The sequence below is a fragment of the Homo sapiens genome, chromosome 6 (assembly GCF_000001405.40).
Source record: "Homo sapiens chromosome 6, GRCh38.p14 Primary Assembly".
Taxonomy (NCBI): Eukaryota; Metazoa; Chordata; class Mammalia; order Primates; family Hominidae; genus Homo; species Homo sapiens.
Genome location: NC_000006.12, coordinates 108450592 through 108467892, shown reverse-complemented (window position 1 = coordinate 108467892; position 17301 = coordinate 108450592). Strand labels below are relative to the sequence as shown.

Here is a 17301-nt window from a genome sequence, read left to right as displayed (position 1 = left end):
CAGAAAACATGTTCCCAAATTCCCAATAGATACTAATCTTAAAAAATATCCTGAAACCATAAGTTATTCTGTATTTATTACATTTTATGTGTTTTCAAACAATAATGCATGCCCATAATAATAGTGAATCATTTCTCTACCATAGGGTTATATTCAGTAGTTTTCTGTAAAATAACAGTATAATAATAAATGCATGGCTTATCACTATTATAAATCAATGTACTGTGACAAGATTATATGTTGCAATAATATGTAAAAGTGATCTCTACCTGATACAGACATGTAAAGTGGAAAACATAAGACCATTAACACAAAATAAATGCTAAGTAAAAATTACTTTAAAATGTAAGTACCCAGTGGCTCACACCTGTAATCCCAGCACTTTGGGAGGCTGAGGTGGGTGGATCACCTGAGGTCAGGAGTTTGAGACCAGCCTAGCTAATATGGCGAAACTCCATCTCTACTAAAAATATTAAAAAACTAGCCAGGTGTGGTGGCGGGGGCCTGTAATCCCAGCTACTTGGCAGGCTGAGGCAGAATCATTTGAACCCGGAAAGCAGGAAGTTGCAGTGAGCCAAGATCGTGCCATTGCACTGCAGCTTTGGCAATAAGAGCGAAACTCCACCTCAAAAAAAAAAAAAAAGTAAGTACCTCAAATATTTAATATGTAAAAGTTATTATTTTTAAAATTAAAAACTTCTGAAACACAATGCATTAATTACCCTGACAGTCCTGATCTTTGCTGGTTGACAAATATTCCAGACACAGGAAAATTCTTTGATTTTGCACTGACATTGGTCAAATCTCTAAGAGTGCATCCTAAATCAATTTCAAGCTGGGCATAAGTACATATTGCTTCATATAAGCTCATTTCCCTTATTCACATGTATGTGACTTCTCTCACTCAATATTATGTTTGTGAGATTCATCTATATTGATGTGTGTAGAAGTAGTTTGTTTATTTTTGTCACTGTATTGTATTGCATAAAAATATCACAATTTATTATCATTTTACCGGTGATGGGTGCATTTGTCTGCTAGGGCTCCCATAACAAAATACCACAGACTGGGTGGCTTAAACAACATATATATATATAGTTTAAAATATATATATTTTTTAAAATATATATATTTTAACAAATATATTTTAAAAAATATATATATATAATTTTTTTTTCTCACACAGTTCTGGAGGCTAGAGGCCAAGATCAAGGTGCTGCCAGGATCGATTTTTGGTGAGGGCTCTCTTTCTGGCTTGCAGACGGCCGCCTTCACTATGTCCTCATGTGGCCTTTCTTTCCTCTGTGTGCACGCACTCCTGGGGTCTCTGCCTTTTCTTATGAGAACACCAGTCCTATTGGATTAAGGCCCTATCCTTATGACTTCAGTTAATCTTAGGTACCTCCTTAAAGGCCCTATCTCCAAATATAGTTCCACTGGGGTAAGGGCTTCAACCTGTGAATTTTGGGGGACACAATTCAGTCCACAACAATGAGCATTTGTGTAGTTCACATTTTGGGGATACTGTGAATAGTGCTACCATGAACATTCTAGTACATTCCTTTTGGTAAACTCATATATACATATCTGTTGGGCATATGGCTAGAATTGCTGCATATGGGGTATACCTATGTTCAGTGTAGGAGATGTTGCCAGTTTTCCAATTGGTTGTAGCAATTTATACTCCCACCAGTGATACAAAAAAGAGTTCCATTTTCTCCACATCCTTGCCAATACTTGGCATTTTCCATCTCTTCCATTTTAGTGATTATGGTGGATAAATTATAAATGACTTCAATATAAGTTGCCTCAAGTTTATTTTTTAACAAGGATTGGGCATAAAAACACAAATGTAATTTAATTTAACAAAAGACTTAATCCATAGTGTAGTGACTCATGCCTATAGTCTCAGCTACTAGGGAGGCTGAGTCAAGAGGATCACTTGAGCCCAGGAGTTTGAGGCCAGCCTGGGCAACATAGTGACACTTTAAAAAAGTGTCACTATGTTTTAAAGTGTTAAACATAACTCTTTAAAAAAGTTAAATTAAATTAAAAGAACTAATTAAAAATTAAAAATAAACAAAATAGTTAATCTAGAAACATTTTCTCAATTGTCATGATACACATAAAATTTTAAAACCCGTGCTTCAAGATATCTTCACTTTTTAAAGTAGGAAAATTTAAGAACACAACTTTATTGTAAAAACTTTAGCAGCAGCAGCAGCAGCAGCAGCAGTGACTCTATGACTCTAGGGCCCTCTTGTTAGTTCTGTAGTGAAACCATTTAAAAAGATAGTAACATTGCCTTACACTAAAAATCTCTATTCAGAAATATATCCATGCTTGTGAGGCTCTAAAGAAGGACCAGGATTATCTCATTTTTAAAAATCTGGTATTTGGGACATAAGACCTAAGGTCAGCAACAAGCCTATATGAAAAACAAATGTACAAAAAATATGCAAGGATATAGATTATATAAAAATACAAACAGTGATTAAAATTAAACTCAAACTGTAAACATAATTGAAAGATATTCCAGCCTAACCAGTAAAATTTGAGGAAGTAGAGACATCTGGTAGTCAACAGTAGTTGTATGGAAAGACCACAGCATGAAGACGGCACTAAATTTAACATGATTTTCTTTTTCAGTGTAAATAAGGAGCTAAATTTAGAGTTTTCTTTTGGGGCCACAAGAATATAATGTCACATAGCATAGAAGAAAATATCCCGTTCAGCTTTGTATAATTCCATTTTAACCACAAAGAAGAGTATCTTGACTAATAGTGACCTGGGTAGCATAAAAATGATCAGGTGGAAATAAATAAATTAAGTTCAGTTGCTATAAATCATCTCCTCTTCCTTCTCCTAAGGAGAGACAGACACTGAGTAAGGATAAAGAATTTAAGTGACTTCCTTTCATTCCTGTGAAACAGCTCCATTCTGAGTAATTGCCCCATCAGTGGGATGCTACTATAAAGTAGGCCTTTGTGCAGACAATGCAAACAAGAAAGTCTACCCACTGATAATCAAACGTTGATCACAGTAAAGAAACTGAAGTCATATCTGATGAAGAAGCAGAGTCACTCTTTTCAAGTGTTTTTTTTGTTTGTTTTTTGTTTTTTGAGGGGAGGGGGTTGGGAGGTAGGGTTGAGGAGCAAAGCTCAACAGAAGATGGGCTCTTTTTTCTTTTGTTGTGCAATGCCCTGATAAAACCCATCCATTTCATTGCTTCTGTCACCTTTTGTTAAACTCAGAAACTGCAGCGGAGGGGCAGGTTTCTATTTTCTATTGAGTAGTACCACTGTGTCTTTAAGTCAGAAAAACCCTGGAATCGACCACTGTTCAGTTGCCAGGAAATTTGGCATCGACTCCTACAGGAATCCTGTGAGTACAGTACCCTGGATGAAAAGCCTGAGTGCTTTGCGAGTATGAGAATCATGATTTATTTTTCCATATTAAATTAGTGAACAGAGAGGAAAGTAATCAAGTCATTTCCATTTTGAGAAAATTTCTACAGCTAAAATCAGGCATTCAACATAAAACTTAGACTCTCAAAGAAACAGAACATGTCAAAAAAGACCTTATTATTGCTGGATCATTTGAAATTCTCAACAAAAATTCCAAAACACTTGGGGGTTTCTGGAAGAGGGTCACGCATGAATTTAAATGGAAATTAATTTCTTCAAGAACCTCCTACTTCATTAGGATTGACTCAAGGGAACAGAATGCTACCCACACTTTGCTTCTTTATCCCTTTTCAAAAATCAACAGCTTGTTAAGGTATCAACAAGTAGAATAGGGTTGGCTTTCCTTAGTCCCTCTCTCTCCATGTTCTCTATTCCAGAGAGCCAAAGTTGATTCGACGCAGAAATTTCCCCTTCCTCTTAGAGTTCTTTGCCAAACTTCCCTGGCAGTGAGCCTTCTCACTCTACTGATTGCCTGCGCATTCATGCTGTACAGCTCTTTGTCCTTATACCAAACATAATCTGGGGCTGGAGGCAGGTCTAAAATTAAGTTGGTTTATACTTGCCTTAATATAAAACAGACTTGGTTGCATTTCAAATCCTGTAGGTTTGTTTTACATAACGAAATCAGTTGTTAGAATGGATTTTGTCTGAGTATTTATCTTCTCAATCACTCAAAGGCTTAACTGACTGTTCAGAGATCCATTTCAGTCTCTAAATTTCCCACCCTTCTCAATCACCTGGAGAGTAACTTACCTGGTTCCATTAATCTTGACCTGTACATTATGCAGAAAGTGGTATCTAGCACCCTTAGCTCTCAAATTCCAGACCTTCACCTCCTCTTCTCAGCCACAAACTCCCATATAAAATTTCTATCAAATCTATATATTGTATTTTTCCCCAAATAAATCAGTACCATGACATCTAGAATTGCAACTTGGTAGATATAAAAATACTTCTTTTTAAAATGGAATTTCAGAAAGGATATAATGATTGAAGATTTCAAAAAAAAAAAAAAAGGAGGGAGAAGAAGTTGGAGAGTAAAAAGCTCTAACCTCTCTTCAGGAGAAAAAGATGGTCACATCCACTTGGGAAAGAGAGGCCAGAGGCCAGGGATTTTTTTTTTTTTTTTTTTTTTTTTTGACAGAGTCTCACTCTGTCACCCAGGCTGGAGTGCAGTGGCGTGATCTCAGTTCACTGTAACCTCTGCCTTGCAGGTTCAGGCAATTCTCCTGCCTCAGCCTCCTGAGTAGCTGAGATTACAGGCATGCACCACCATACCTGGCTAATTTTCGTATTTTTAGTAGAGATGGGGTTTCACCATGTTGGCCAAGCTATCTTGAACTCCTGACCTCAATTGATCCACCCAGTCTCAGCCTCCCACAGTGCTGGATTACAGGCGTGAGTCACTGCACCCGGCTGAGGCCAGGGAGTTTTAATAGCTAAAAATGAACACAGCAAATAACTAAAGACCTAGGGTTTTTGCCAGATCAGCTTTTCTTATGCAGCAGATTGATCTTCAGTTATAACTGTGATCTATTTGGAGATGAAATAATGCAATGAAAATTCTAAGGAAATCTAAATACCCTCTTCCGTATTTTTATACGTGTAAGAATACATATTATCTACTAATATACACATTATATATATACACAATTATTATTTACACTCTACTAGATGACTGTGGCCATACAATTGGATATTTTGTCCATGTGTTTAGCTGGATTTAGTGGGCCAGCTCTATTCTGGTTCTCCTGCTGGAAAACAAACACTATTCAATAAAGGAATAGGAGATAAAAGGCATACTAAACTGACTGGTGGAACCTGGTACTGAAGTCTATATTAGATGGACTTCTTTTGTTGCTGTACCACTTTATAGGTGCTGTTTCAAATAGTGAAATTAATTTCTAGTTCAGTAGTTTTTGAGTTAATGCAAGATTAATTAATAAAGATTTAGAAGGACATCTAAATTATACCAAATGTACAATTTTGTGATTCGGGAGTGTTTTTTTTTGTTTGTTTTTTGAGACAAGGTCTCACTCTGTCACCCAGGCTGGAGTGCAGTGGCACAATCATGGCTCACAACATCCTCGACCTCCTGGGTTCAAGCGATTCTCCCATCTCAGCCTCTCAAGCAGCTGGGACCACAGGCACACAACACCAAGCCCAGTTAGCTTTTTTTTAACCTTTGTAGACATGAGGTCTCTACATGTTGCCCAGGTTGGTCTCAAATTCCTGGGCTCAAGCAATCCACCCATCTCAGCCTCTCAAAGTGCTGGAATTATAGGCATGAGCCACTGCACCCAGCCTTTTGTGATTTTTTTTTCTTTTTTTGAGACGGAGTCTTGCTCTGTCGCCCAGGCTAGAGTGCAGTGGTACAATCTCGGCTCACTGCAAGCTCCACCTCCCAGGTTCACGCCATTCTCCTGCCTCACCCTCCCGAGTAGCTGGGACTACAGGCTCCTGCCACCACATCTGGCTAATTTTTCTGTACTTTTAGTAGAGACAGGGTTTCAACGTGTTAGCCAGGATGGTCTTGATCTCCTGCCCTCGTGATCCGCCCACCTCGGCCTCCCAAAGTGCTGGGATTACATGTGTGAGCCACCGTGCACTGCCAGCCTTTTGTGATTTTCAATAGACATAAAACAATTTTTTAAAACAGTCTACTTGGGCTGGGCACAGTGGCTCATGCCTGTAATCCCAGCAATTTGGGAGGCTAAGGCAGGTGGATTGCTTGAGGCCAAGAATTTGAGACCAGCCTGGGCAACACAGTAAAAACCAATCTCTACCAAAATAAATACAAAAATTAGCCAGGCATAGTGGCACGTGCCTGTAGTCCCAGCTACTCAATAGGCTGAGGCGGGAAAATGGCTTGAGTCTAGGACGAGGCTGCAGTGAGCTGAGATGGCACCACTGCACTCCAGCCTGGGCTACTACTGAGCCAGACCTGGTCTCAAAAACAAACAAACAAGAAGAAACAGCCTACTGGATCATGTCCTATAAAATACAAAACAAAAAGTTGTTGTTTTGTAGTTGTTTATAATATACAGTTATAAGTGTACAACAGGGCTTTACTCATTCATAAAATATCAACAGGAGTTCTTATGACAAAGATACTACCGTGCATCTACTTTTGAGAACCAACTATATTTCCCCACCACAGAGCCCTTCCCCCTCCCAGGTGTTCTTTGAGCACAGATTCATTACCATTACTGATCAGCTACTTATCAAAAACATATGGCAACACACAATGCTTTGATTTGAATCTGAGACATCTCAGTTTGAATACTTTGTATTTCTCATAGAAATAAATAGTTCTTCACTAAGAAAGTAACAAAAATACAATGAAAAAAATTATTCAAAAAATTAAAATGTTACTAAGAAGTCAGATTTAGCCCCAGCTACATGAGAGGCTGAGACAGGAGGACTTCTTTTTGTTGTTGTCATTGTTGTTGTTGTTGTTGTCATTGTTGAGACGGAGTCTCGCTCTGTCGCCCAGGCTGGAGTGCAGTGGCGCCATCTCAGCTCACTGCAAGCTCCGCCTTCCAGGTTCACGCAATTCTCCTGCCTCATCCTCTTGAGTAGCTGGGACTACAAGCACCCGCCACCATGCCCAGCTAATTTTTTGTATTTTTAGTAGAGACAGGGTTTCACCGTGTTAGCCAGGATGGTCTCAATCTCCTGACCTCATGATCCTCCCGCCTCGGCCTCCCAAAGTGCTGGGATTACAGGCGTGAGCCACCACGCCTGGCCAGGACTTCTTGAGCCCAGGAGTTTGAGACTAGCCTTGGCAACATAGTGAGACCTTGTCTCAAAAAATCAAAAAACAGAAAACACTTAATGTAAGAGAAAGCAGTAAAGGAAGAACAGATGAGGGGAAATGAACAAGAAACATAAAGAAAACAAAAAGTAAAAAGCAAATGTAAATTTAATTCCATCTATAATAACATAATTTGCAAATGAATTAAACAATTTAATCAAAAAGCAGAGATTGTCACACTGGATAAAAAAAGACCCAACTACATGCTGTCTATAGGAGACAGGTTTTAGATTCAGAGATACAAATAGGTTCCTGATGTTTTTCTATTCTCTATTTCATTAATTTCTACTAATCTTTATTATCTACGTCTCCTTTAAACTAAAGGTTCCCTATCCATCTCTCTCTCTTTTTCTTATTTATTTATTGAAGAAGCAATTGATTTATGTCATTTAAAATTGCATCTTGATAAAGCCATAAAAATAAATTTTAAAAATAAGTATAATACCCTATCACACCTAACAAAGTTAACAATAATTCCTCAATGTCATGAAACATCCTGTAGTATTTGCATTTTTTATTGCGCTGTAGCTTTTTTTTTGTTTTGTCTTTGTTTTCATTCTTATAGTTTGTGTGATTCAGGATCCACATAAGGCCCATGCACTGTAATTTGTTGATATGTTTCTACGTCTCCTTTAAACTAAAGGTTCCCTATCCATCTCTCTCTTTCTTATTTATTTGTTGAAGAAGCAATTGATTTATGTCATTTAAAAAATCTACAGTCTACATTTTGATGGATGTATTCCTGTGATGTTATTGAACATATTCCATTGCCCCTATATTTCCTGTAAATGGATAAAATTCAGGTTTCATTTTGTAGCAATTATTATAGAATTTGTGATCATTAACTAGATCCATTAAATTATGAGTGTTTTACAAAATGGTGATATTCTAATTCTATTATAATTCTCTCAACATTTTTTCAATTGCTACCTAGAAAACTTTTATAAAGAGAAGCTTCCCCTCATCAACTATTATGTTATACTATGGATCAGTTATTTTAAAACAGGCAGGAAAAAATACTTGATTCTTTCCTTTTATTTACCAATTTTTCAGAATAATGGTCTAGACACTTCCACTTCTGGCCATGATGGGAATAAGAGGGCCCAGAGTTACCTATCTGCCTTAAACAACCGAAACAATCTAAAATATATGAAACAATGGTTTGCAGACACTGGATAACAAAAAGCACAGTACAGCGATCCCCAGGGAAAGGGAAACAAATCAGTTCAGCCTCAATTTACTGCCTAGTGAGTTTCCAGACTTCAGGAATAGGGACACAAATACACTCAGCATTTAGGAGGCTGAGAAAATAGAATTCAGCATTTGGGGAGGCTAGCACAGCTAGAATTTGCAAGGTATAATACTGGAAAAAAAGATATAGAGACAGAAGTCCAGTGATCTGCAGAGGGCTTCCCTGAGTCTTTAGTTGAGTACTAAACTGTGTATGCATAAGCAACTACTTGAAACGGGCAGGTGGGAGAGGACCCACTGGAATCACAAAGCATTACCCCTGGAGCTCATACATGGCCAGGAATAGTTCATGTTCCCTCTAGTCAGAGGAAAGTCCTACTAAAGCATAGGGTATCAGGTGGAATTCTCAGAAGGGTATTGCTTCAGGAATAATTAGCCCTAGAATAAAGGCACTCTGGTTCTGCTTTACAAAGCCTAGCCTCAAGAGGATAAAATTGTTTCCAAGTAACTTAACTGTGTCCCAGAACAAAGTCTCAAAGTACTTAAAGGAATACAAAAAACTCCAGTACCCGACAATATAAAATTCACAGTATCTGAAACACAATAAAAAAAAAGCATGAAAGGCAGGAAAATCAGCTCATAAAAAGGACAAAAACTTATCAATAGAAACAGACCCAGAAATGACATAGATGATAGTATTAGTAGACAAAGACATTAAAACTGCAATTATAAATATGCTGCATATACTCAATAAGGTAGAGGAAGGCATGAGTATAAGAACAAAGAAGATATAAAAAAGAAACCCCCGCAGCATGGTGGTGTGTGTCTATAGTCCCAACTACTGAGAGGCTAAGGGGGGAGAATCTCTTGAGTCCAGGAGTTCAAGACCAGCCTGGGCAACATAGCAAGACTTTGCCTTTTAAAAAAGAAAAGAAAAGGGAAAGAAACCCAAGTTTAGCTTTTAAAAAGGAAAAATGCCACCTCTAACATGGACAAATACACTGGATTATAATTAATAACAGATTAGACACTGCAAAAGAAACTACCCAAAATGAAACACAAACACAGGAAGAAAAAAAGAATGAAAAAAGTGAACAGAGCATCAGTGAGCTGTGGGATAATATAAAGAGGTCTAATATAAGTGTAACTGGAGTCCCAGAAATTGAAGAGGAGGGGAAGGGATGGGGAGAAATTGTAAAGAAATAAGAGAAAATTCTCCAAACTAATTGAAAACTATAAACCCACACATCCAAGAAGCACAACCAAATCCAGGCAAAAGAAACATGCTGAAAACCACACCAATGCACATCATAATAAAACTGTTTAAAACCAAGATAAAAATAAAATTGTAGAAGCAGCCAGTGATAAGACTTATATCCTTATGCAGAGAAGGACAAAGAATGCCAGTAGACTTTTCATGAGAAACAATGCAAGCCAGAAGAGAAGAAAGCAACATCGCCAAAGTACTATAGAGAAAAAGTGAAGGAAGGAAGAAAGAGAGAGGAAGGAAGGAAGAAAAGGGGGAAGGAAGAAAGGAAAGCCAGCCAGCCTATCAGCCTAGAATTCTCTAGCCAGCAAAAATCTTTCAAAAATAAAAGCAAAACAAAAACTTTAATATGAGAAAATTCATCACCAGCAGACCACTACTATAAGAAATGTTAAACCGTGTCCTTTAGGAAAAAGAGAAATTATATCGGGGGAAATTTCAATCTATATAACAGAATGAAGAATACAAGAAATAGTAAATATGTAGGTAAATTAAAAGACTTTTTCTTATTTTAAAAATCTCTTTAAAGGATTATTGACTGTTTAAGCAAAAGTAATGACAATGTATTATGGAGTTTATAACCTAAAAAGATAATAAAGTACTGCATATAATAATATTATATAATAAAATACACAATTACATAATAAAATAACAAAAAAGACAATAAAAGCACAAAGCCCGGGATAGTAAAAATGGAAGTATACTATAGGTTTTTATGTTATACATCAAGTGTTGTACTCTTACTTGAAGGCAAGCTATGATAAGTTAAAGGTGCTTACGCTATGCCCTAAAGTGACTATTAAAAGAAAAAAATCAAGGAGGTATAGCTAATAAGAAGTAAAAGGGAATCTTAAAAAAATAACTAATATGAAGTCAGAAAAAGGGGGAAATTGGAAAAAAGAACAGATGGGACAATAGAAAACAAAAAGCAAACAACATGGATTAACTTTGAAAACATTATGCTAAGTGAAAGAAGCCAGGAACAAAGACCACATCTTATAGTATTAAACTGGTAACAACAGATAACACACTTGATCTTAAACAAAAGACTGAGAAGTAATATGCATCGTATATACAGTGGCACATTACTTAACAATGGTGATATGTTTTAAGAGTGTTGTTAGGTGATTTTGTCATCATACAGACATGATAAGAGTATACTGACACAAACCTAGATGGCATAGCCTGCTACGCACTTGTGGTGTACGGTATAGCCTAATGCTCCTGGGCTATAAACCTATACAGCATTTTACTGTACTGAATATTGTAAGCAACTGTAATATAATGGCAAGTATTTGTGTATCTAAACATAGAAAAGATACAATAAAAATACAGTATTATAATCTTATGTGACCACCATCATATCTATGCTATGGTCCATCATTGGCTAAAATATTACTATGCGGTGCATGATTATATTACATCTTATGTGATTCCATTTATATGAGATGTATAAAATAGGCAAATTCCATAGAGAAGGTAGATTGGCAGAGGGTAGAGGGGTGAGAGGTATGACTGCTAACGGTTATGGGTTTCTTTCTGGGGTGATAAAAGTGTTCTGAAATTAGATAGTGGTGATGGTAGTACAACTCTAAATATACTAACAAACCACTGAGTTATAGACTTTAAAAGAGTGAATTGTATCTCAATAATTTTTTTCTAAAAAATACAAAAAAAACAAGTAGCAAGATAGTATATTTAAACCCAGCCATATCAACAATCACATCAAGTGTAAATGGTTTAAATATCCCCAATTAAAAGAAAAAGATTGTCAGATTGCATAAAAAATAAATACCCAAATATATGTTGCCAACAAGAAACCCATTTTAATATAAAGACACAGATAGGCTGAAAGTAAAAAAGATGAGAAAAGACATATCATGCAAACACTAATTTTAAAAAAGCTGAAGTGGCTACATTAATATTAAGCATAGTAGAAGGAATATTACCAGGAATAATGAGGTTCATTTCATACTTATGAAGAGGTCAATTCATCAAGAGAACATATCAATCCTAAACATTTATATACCTAATAACAGAGCTTCAAAATACATGAAGCAAAACCAGACAGAACTGTAAGAGGAAATAGAAAAATCCATAATTATACTTGGAAATTTCAGCACCTCTTTCTCAATACTTAATAGAAAAAGAAGACAAAAAATCAGTAAGAATATAGGAGACTTGAACAACCCTGTCAACCAACTTGACCCAATGGCCTTTAAAGTACACACTACTAACAATAGCAGAATACATAATCAAGTGCATGAGAAACTTGTTCCAAGATGCATCATATTCTGGGCCATAAAGCAAGCCTCAATAAATTCAAAAGGATTCAAATCATACAACATAGATTCTGTAACCATAATTAGTTAAATCTGGGAATCATTAACAGAAAGATGTATAAAAAAATCACCAAACGTTCAGAAAGTAAATAACACACTTTTAATAACCCATGGGCCAAAAAATAAATCAGGAGAGAAAACATGACATAATAAAACATGTGAGATGCAGCTAAAGTTTAGTTTGAAAGTGCTTATATGAGAGCAGAAAGGTTTAAAATCAAGGACTTAATCTTCTACCTTAAAAAACTAGAAAAGGAAGAGCAAATTAAATCCAAACTAAGCAGAAGAAAGGAAATAATGAAAGTTCAGAAATTAAGGATATAGAAAACAGAAAGTAATAATAGAGAAAATCAACACAACAAAAGCAGTTTCGTTGGGAAGATCAATAGACTTAAAACTGCAGTAAGCATGATCAGAAAAAAACAGAGAAGGCTATCTTTTTAAAAATCTTTTGATTATGAAAAATTTTACACATAAACACATGTGAAGAGAATAGTTCTATTAAAACCCCAATGTAAAATCACCCACTCAATACATGGCATGGTCAATCTTGTTTCCTCTATACCTCCCCTCAATTCTCCTACACTGGATTATTTTGAAGCAAATCCTAGACATTGTATTATTTCATCTGTAAATATTTTCATTTCTGATTATTTCTTATGTAGAAAAACCTAAATGTTCTTCTGTGCCATGATGCTAAGAAGAAGTAAAACATAATCTGTAAACATCAGAAATATCCCAAATATCTTCATCCCTTCCCCAGACTGAGGAATTAGCCAGACAACAGTCAGAACCTCAAGAAAGTAGACAGTTTCTTTGATTGCCAGAGACAGAAATTCTATCTCTTGTTCTCTGAGGAACAGACTTCAGGGTCAGGCACGGTGGCTCACTCCTGTAATCCCAGCACTTTGGGAGGCCGAGGCAGGCGGACTGCTTGAAACCAGCCTGGCCAACATGGTGAAACCCCAGCTCTACTAAAAATACAAAAATTAGCTGGGCGTGGTGGCATGCGCCTGTAATCCCAGCTACTCGGTAGGCTGAGGCACGAGAATTGCTCGAACCTGGGAGGCGGAGGTTGCAGTGAGCTGAGATCTCACCACTGCATTCCAGTCTGGGCAACAGAGTGAGATTCTGTCTCAATAATAATAATAAAAAAGAACAGACTTCAGGAAGGCCCAGTGACTGGTGCTGCTGAAGGATGGGAAACTGACCTTTGATTTACACTGACAATAAACATTCAGTCATGGCTTAGGGTTTGCACCTGGTAATTGTACCTGGCAAGCAGGCAGGCATATAGCCAGAGTCTCCACAGCAATCAAGACTTACCAGGAGGGTATAAACCCACTCACCTAAGAATGACAAAGGTGATCTAATGGGATCCTTATCTTGATCAGGTGCTATCTTTGTCACCTAATGGGCCCTCAAAGGCCAAAAAAACTTACAGCTTCATCTGGGAATATGCTCTATTATCTTCTGTTTTGTGCAAGTGTCTCCATGTGGATACATTTCTGCAACCTTGACTGCTAAATAAATTTTATAGTCTTAAACTGTGTGGTATTTTTCCACTGATACCATCACTATTCCATTGTGACACCATGCAAACTAGTGTGAGAAGTAGAAATGATAGGAATATAATGGAGTCTAAAAGACACATGAGAGAATTTAAGGAACTGGAGGAGGAGTAGAGCCAGCTCATATTTGGCATAAGACCATAAAAATTTTGTTGTAGAGGATGAAATAAATATTTCAATGGGGTGTGCATACTGCCTGCTACAGGACTCTGGGCAGTCTAGCACAACGTATTGAAACAAATGACGGCCTAAAAGGAAGGGGGCCGGACTTAAGCATTTTCAAGTTGCTTGCACTGGTGAATGTTTCAGAGGTTCTTCAGTGGGAATTGAAACAGGAAATGACTGGGCTAGCTGTCTAACTGGTAAGAAAAACTGAGACTGAAACTGCAGATTCCAGTGTCTGGGACAGAATTGTAATGGTAATGATGGGTGATGGAGAGAAGGTACCAAGCTGTCCTAGACACTCCATTAAACCAGAAGGTGGCAACCTTAGAGGCAGAAGCTGGGTCTCAGCCAAAGTTTAGGTATGGGAAGATGTGATGATCACTCTAAGAAATGTTTTTAAGTTTCATTAATCTGATTCTCACAGTTGAGAGCAGAGGAGTGTTTGTAAGTAATATCACAGGCAAGAAACATGAAGTTTTTAATTATGGGGAAGTATGTTTTAACACATAGAAGCTTCAGTCTTAGTTTTCACAGACCTTTCTTCTGAAACAGAGCTATAACCTTGAAGCTGTGTGTCTTTTTGTCAGCTAATTGTTATTCTTTTAAAAAATGGTGTTCAAAGTTATATTCTCCAAAATGATTTTCTATTTGGAATAGATATTTCCCAAGTGGAAAACCAAGAGTGCTTGAGACATAAAACTTCCACTAGTAAAAGTATTTAAGAAAAAACTTTTTTTTTGAAATCTGTTCAAAAGATGGGTAAATACATTATATTAGCCAAGCACAAATATGTGAATATTTGGGCTGTATCTAAAAATCCATAAATTAGATTTTTCACCATTTTCAGGATGATCCAAAATCCCCATATTGAAATGGTCTTGAGACAATTTAAGTTTTAAGCAACTGAACAATGTGCTTCAGATGTAGTTTTGTTGAAGTGGTGGATGACTTCAGTGGACAGAAGCCAACTGAAACAAAGGGAGGAAGCCCGGTTCTTTAAGGTCTAATGTCCGGTAAATGCCCCCTGTTGGGAGAGACAAGCCCCTCCATGGGTCTCTCCATCACATCTTGCTGAGTATGCCAAGAATGCGAGGCCCTAACCATTTCTCAAGGTTGTGTGTGTAGTGAGCAACCTTGAAAGATGAGACAATGTCTCCCTCGAGACAAAAAGCAGACTTGCTTATGTCTGGCTATAAAATGGCAGATTTCACAAGCTCAGAGCTATTTTCCTGTAACACAATTCACTGCCTGTTGCAGGAATTATCTAGGCCCTCAGCAAAACACCCTCCCCTCCACTCCATGGGACTAAGGAGCAAGGAGGGAACTGACACAACATGCTAATGCTCATACTGCTATCTGTGCCAAGGCTAATAAGATCCTGTGTCTCTGACCCAGGTCTCTGTTGTCTTCTGTCAGCACTTATGAAATAATAAAAGGCAAACCTATTTTAGGTTTAGGCTCGTAAGTGGGGTAAAATAAAATCCCAGGACCAATGCCTGCCCCCATCCCTTTTGGTTCAGTTTAAAACTTCTCTTGAGGTTACGGCATCTGTGTGGAGGGCACAGTGTTTGTATGTGAGTATGGAAAGATATGGTGTTTGAATAGAACCCTCCCTTCAACAGACTTAGTAGAGAAAAGAACCTATAGGACTCAGCCTTGGAATAAAAAAGAGACAGCAAGTGTGAGTCCAGGGTGATGTGAACTCCTCTCCCCAGGAAACCAGTAACGCTTCACAATAGGGATAGCAAAATGGCCTGGGGAAGCATATCATGGATCCTTCAGCAATGGTGCTTCCTGTTTAAAAAGATATGCATATATAAAATAATAACCTCTAGTATTACCAGCCCCCAAACAGAGAGCTAATCTGAAGCAGTTAAATTCTCTGTAAGCATGAGATGGGGTCACCCTTGATCAGTACCAGACAATTCAAAATAGATTACTGTCCAAGTCTCCATCCAGATGCAAATGGAAGCCCAGTGCTTGATTGATCTGTTTGGACTTCAGCATGGGGACCTTGTTGAGTGCTATTCACCAAGCAACTAGAAAAGAAACAAACTGGCCGGGCGTGGTGGCTCAACGCCTGTAATTCCAGCACTTGCAGAGGCTGAGGCGGATGGATCACCTAAGGTCAGGAGTTCAAGACCAGCCGGGCAAATCTGGCAAAACCCCGTCTCCACTAAAAATACAAAAATTAGCCGGGTGTGGTGGCGTGTGCCTGTAATCCCAGCTACTCAGCTGAGGCAGGAGAATTGCTTGAACCCGGGAAGCAGAGGTTGCAGTGAGCCGAGATCACGCCACTGCACTCCAGCCCTCCAGTGACAGAGCAAGACTCCGTGTCCCCCACAAAAAAAAATGAAAATAAAAAAAAAGAAACAAACTGTGCTCATCTCTGGAGTGATCATGCATTTAGTACAGAATAAAAAACTGGACAAGCATGGGGTGTTTTAATCTATGCAAAAGTTTGGATATTTGCAATCAAGGTCTCTGTTTTGTAGCTTGCTAAATTTAAATTCTCTGAATTTGCTGTATATGAGGTTGTTACAGGGCCAAAAACGTCTGAAACTTACTTACGAAGGTACTCTAGGATTCCTAAATTTAATGTGATATATATTACATACAAACATGCAATGTCTTATGTGAATTAGTTCTTGTGGGACTCAGGCAATATTATGAACTACAGAAATTGCTCCATGTCAACTTTTTGGGTAGTTTTAGAAATCTGTGGTAATTCTTGATATTATTTGGATTGTATTTTGGATATTCTTAATTGGTGTTGGGAAATCAGACTAATAAAATACTGAGTTGATGAAGATTAATATTTCTGTTTCATTAAAGATCGTATGTGGGATTTTACTTGTATGAAATTCTGAGATAGCGCTTGGTGTTCCCCTAGAAGGAAGCTAAAATTTTGTTTTTTATGTTTTTGTTTGTTTGCTTGTTTGTTTTCTGGCAGTTGGGGCTCCAGTGAAACTGACAAGGGGGTAGTCTGGACTTGCATATTCAGGAATCGATTACAGATGTCTGGCCAGATGGTAATAAACAGAAACACACGCTTTAATAGGGCAATATTTAGCATAGCACATTAAAGTCTGTTACAGGGTAAAGTTAATAAGTTTTTCTTTTTTTTTTTTTTTAATACCAGTGGAACAGAACAGAGCCCTCAGAAATAATGCCGCATATCTACGACTATCTGATCTTAAGAAATGGGGAAAGGATTCCCTATTTAATAAAAGGTTCTGGGAAAACTGGCTAGCCATATGTAGAAAGCTGAAACTGGATCCCTTCCTTACACCTTATACAACAATTAATTCAAGATGGATTTAAGACTTAAATGTTAGACCTAAAACCATAAAAACGCTAGAAGAAAACCTAGGCAATACCATTCAGGACATAGGCATGGGCAAGGACTTCATGTCTAAAATACCAAAAGCAATGGCAACAAAAGCCAAAATTGACAAATGGGATCTAATTAAACTAAAGC

At 37.5% G+C, this 17301-nt stretch overlaps 1 protein-coding gene across 9 annotated transcripts in view; it reads right to left on the bottom strand.

Moving 5' to 3' along the window:
* The window catches only part of AFG1L (AFG1 like ATPase), a 230948-nt gene that overhangs the window by 58109 nt on the left and 155538 nt on the right, over window positions 1-17301 (bottom strand). The window lies entirely within an intron of this gene.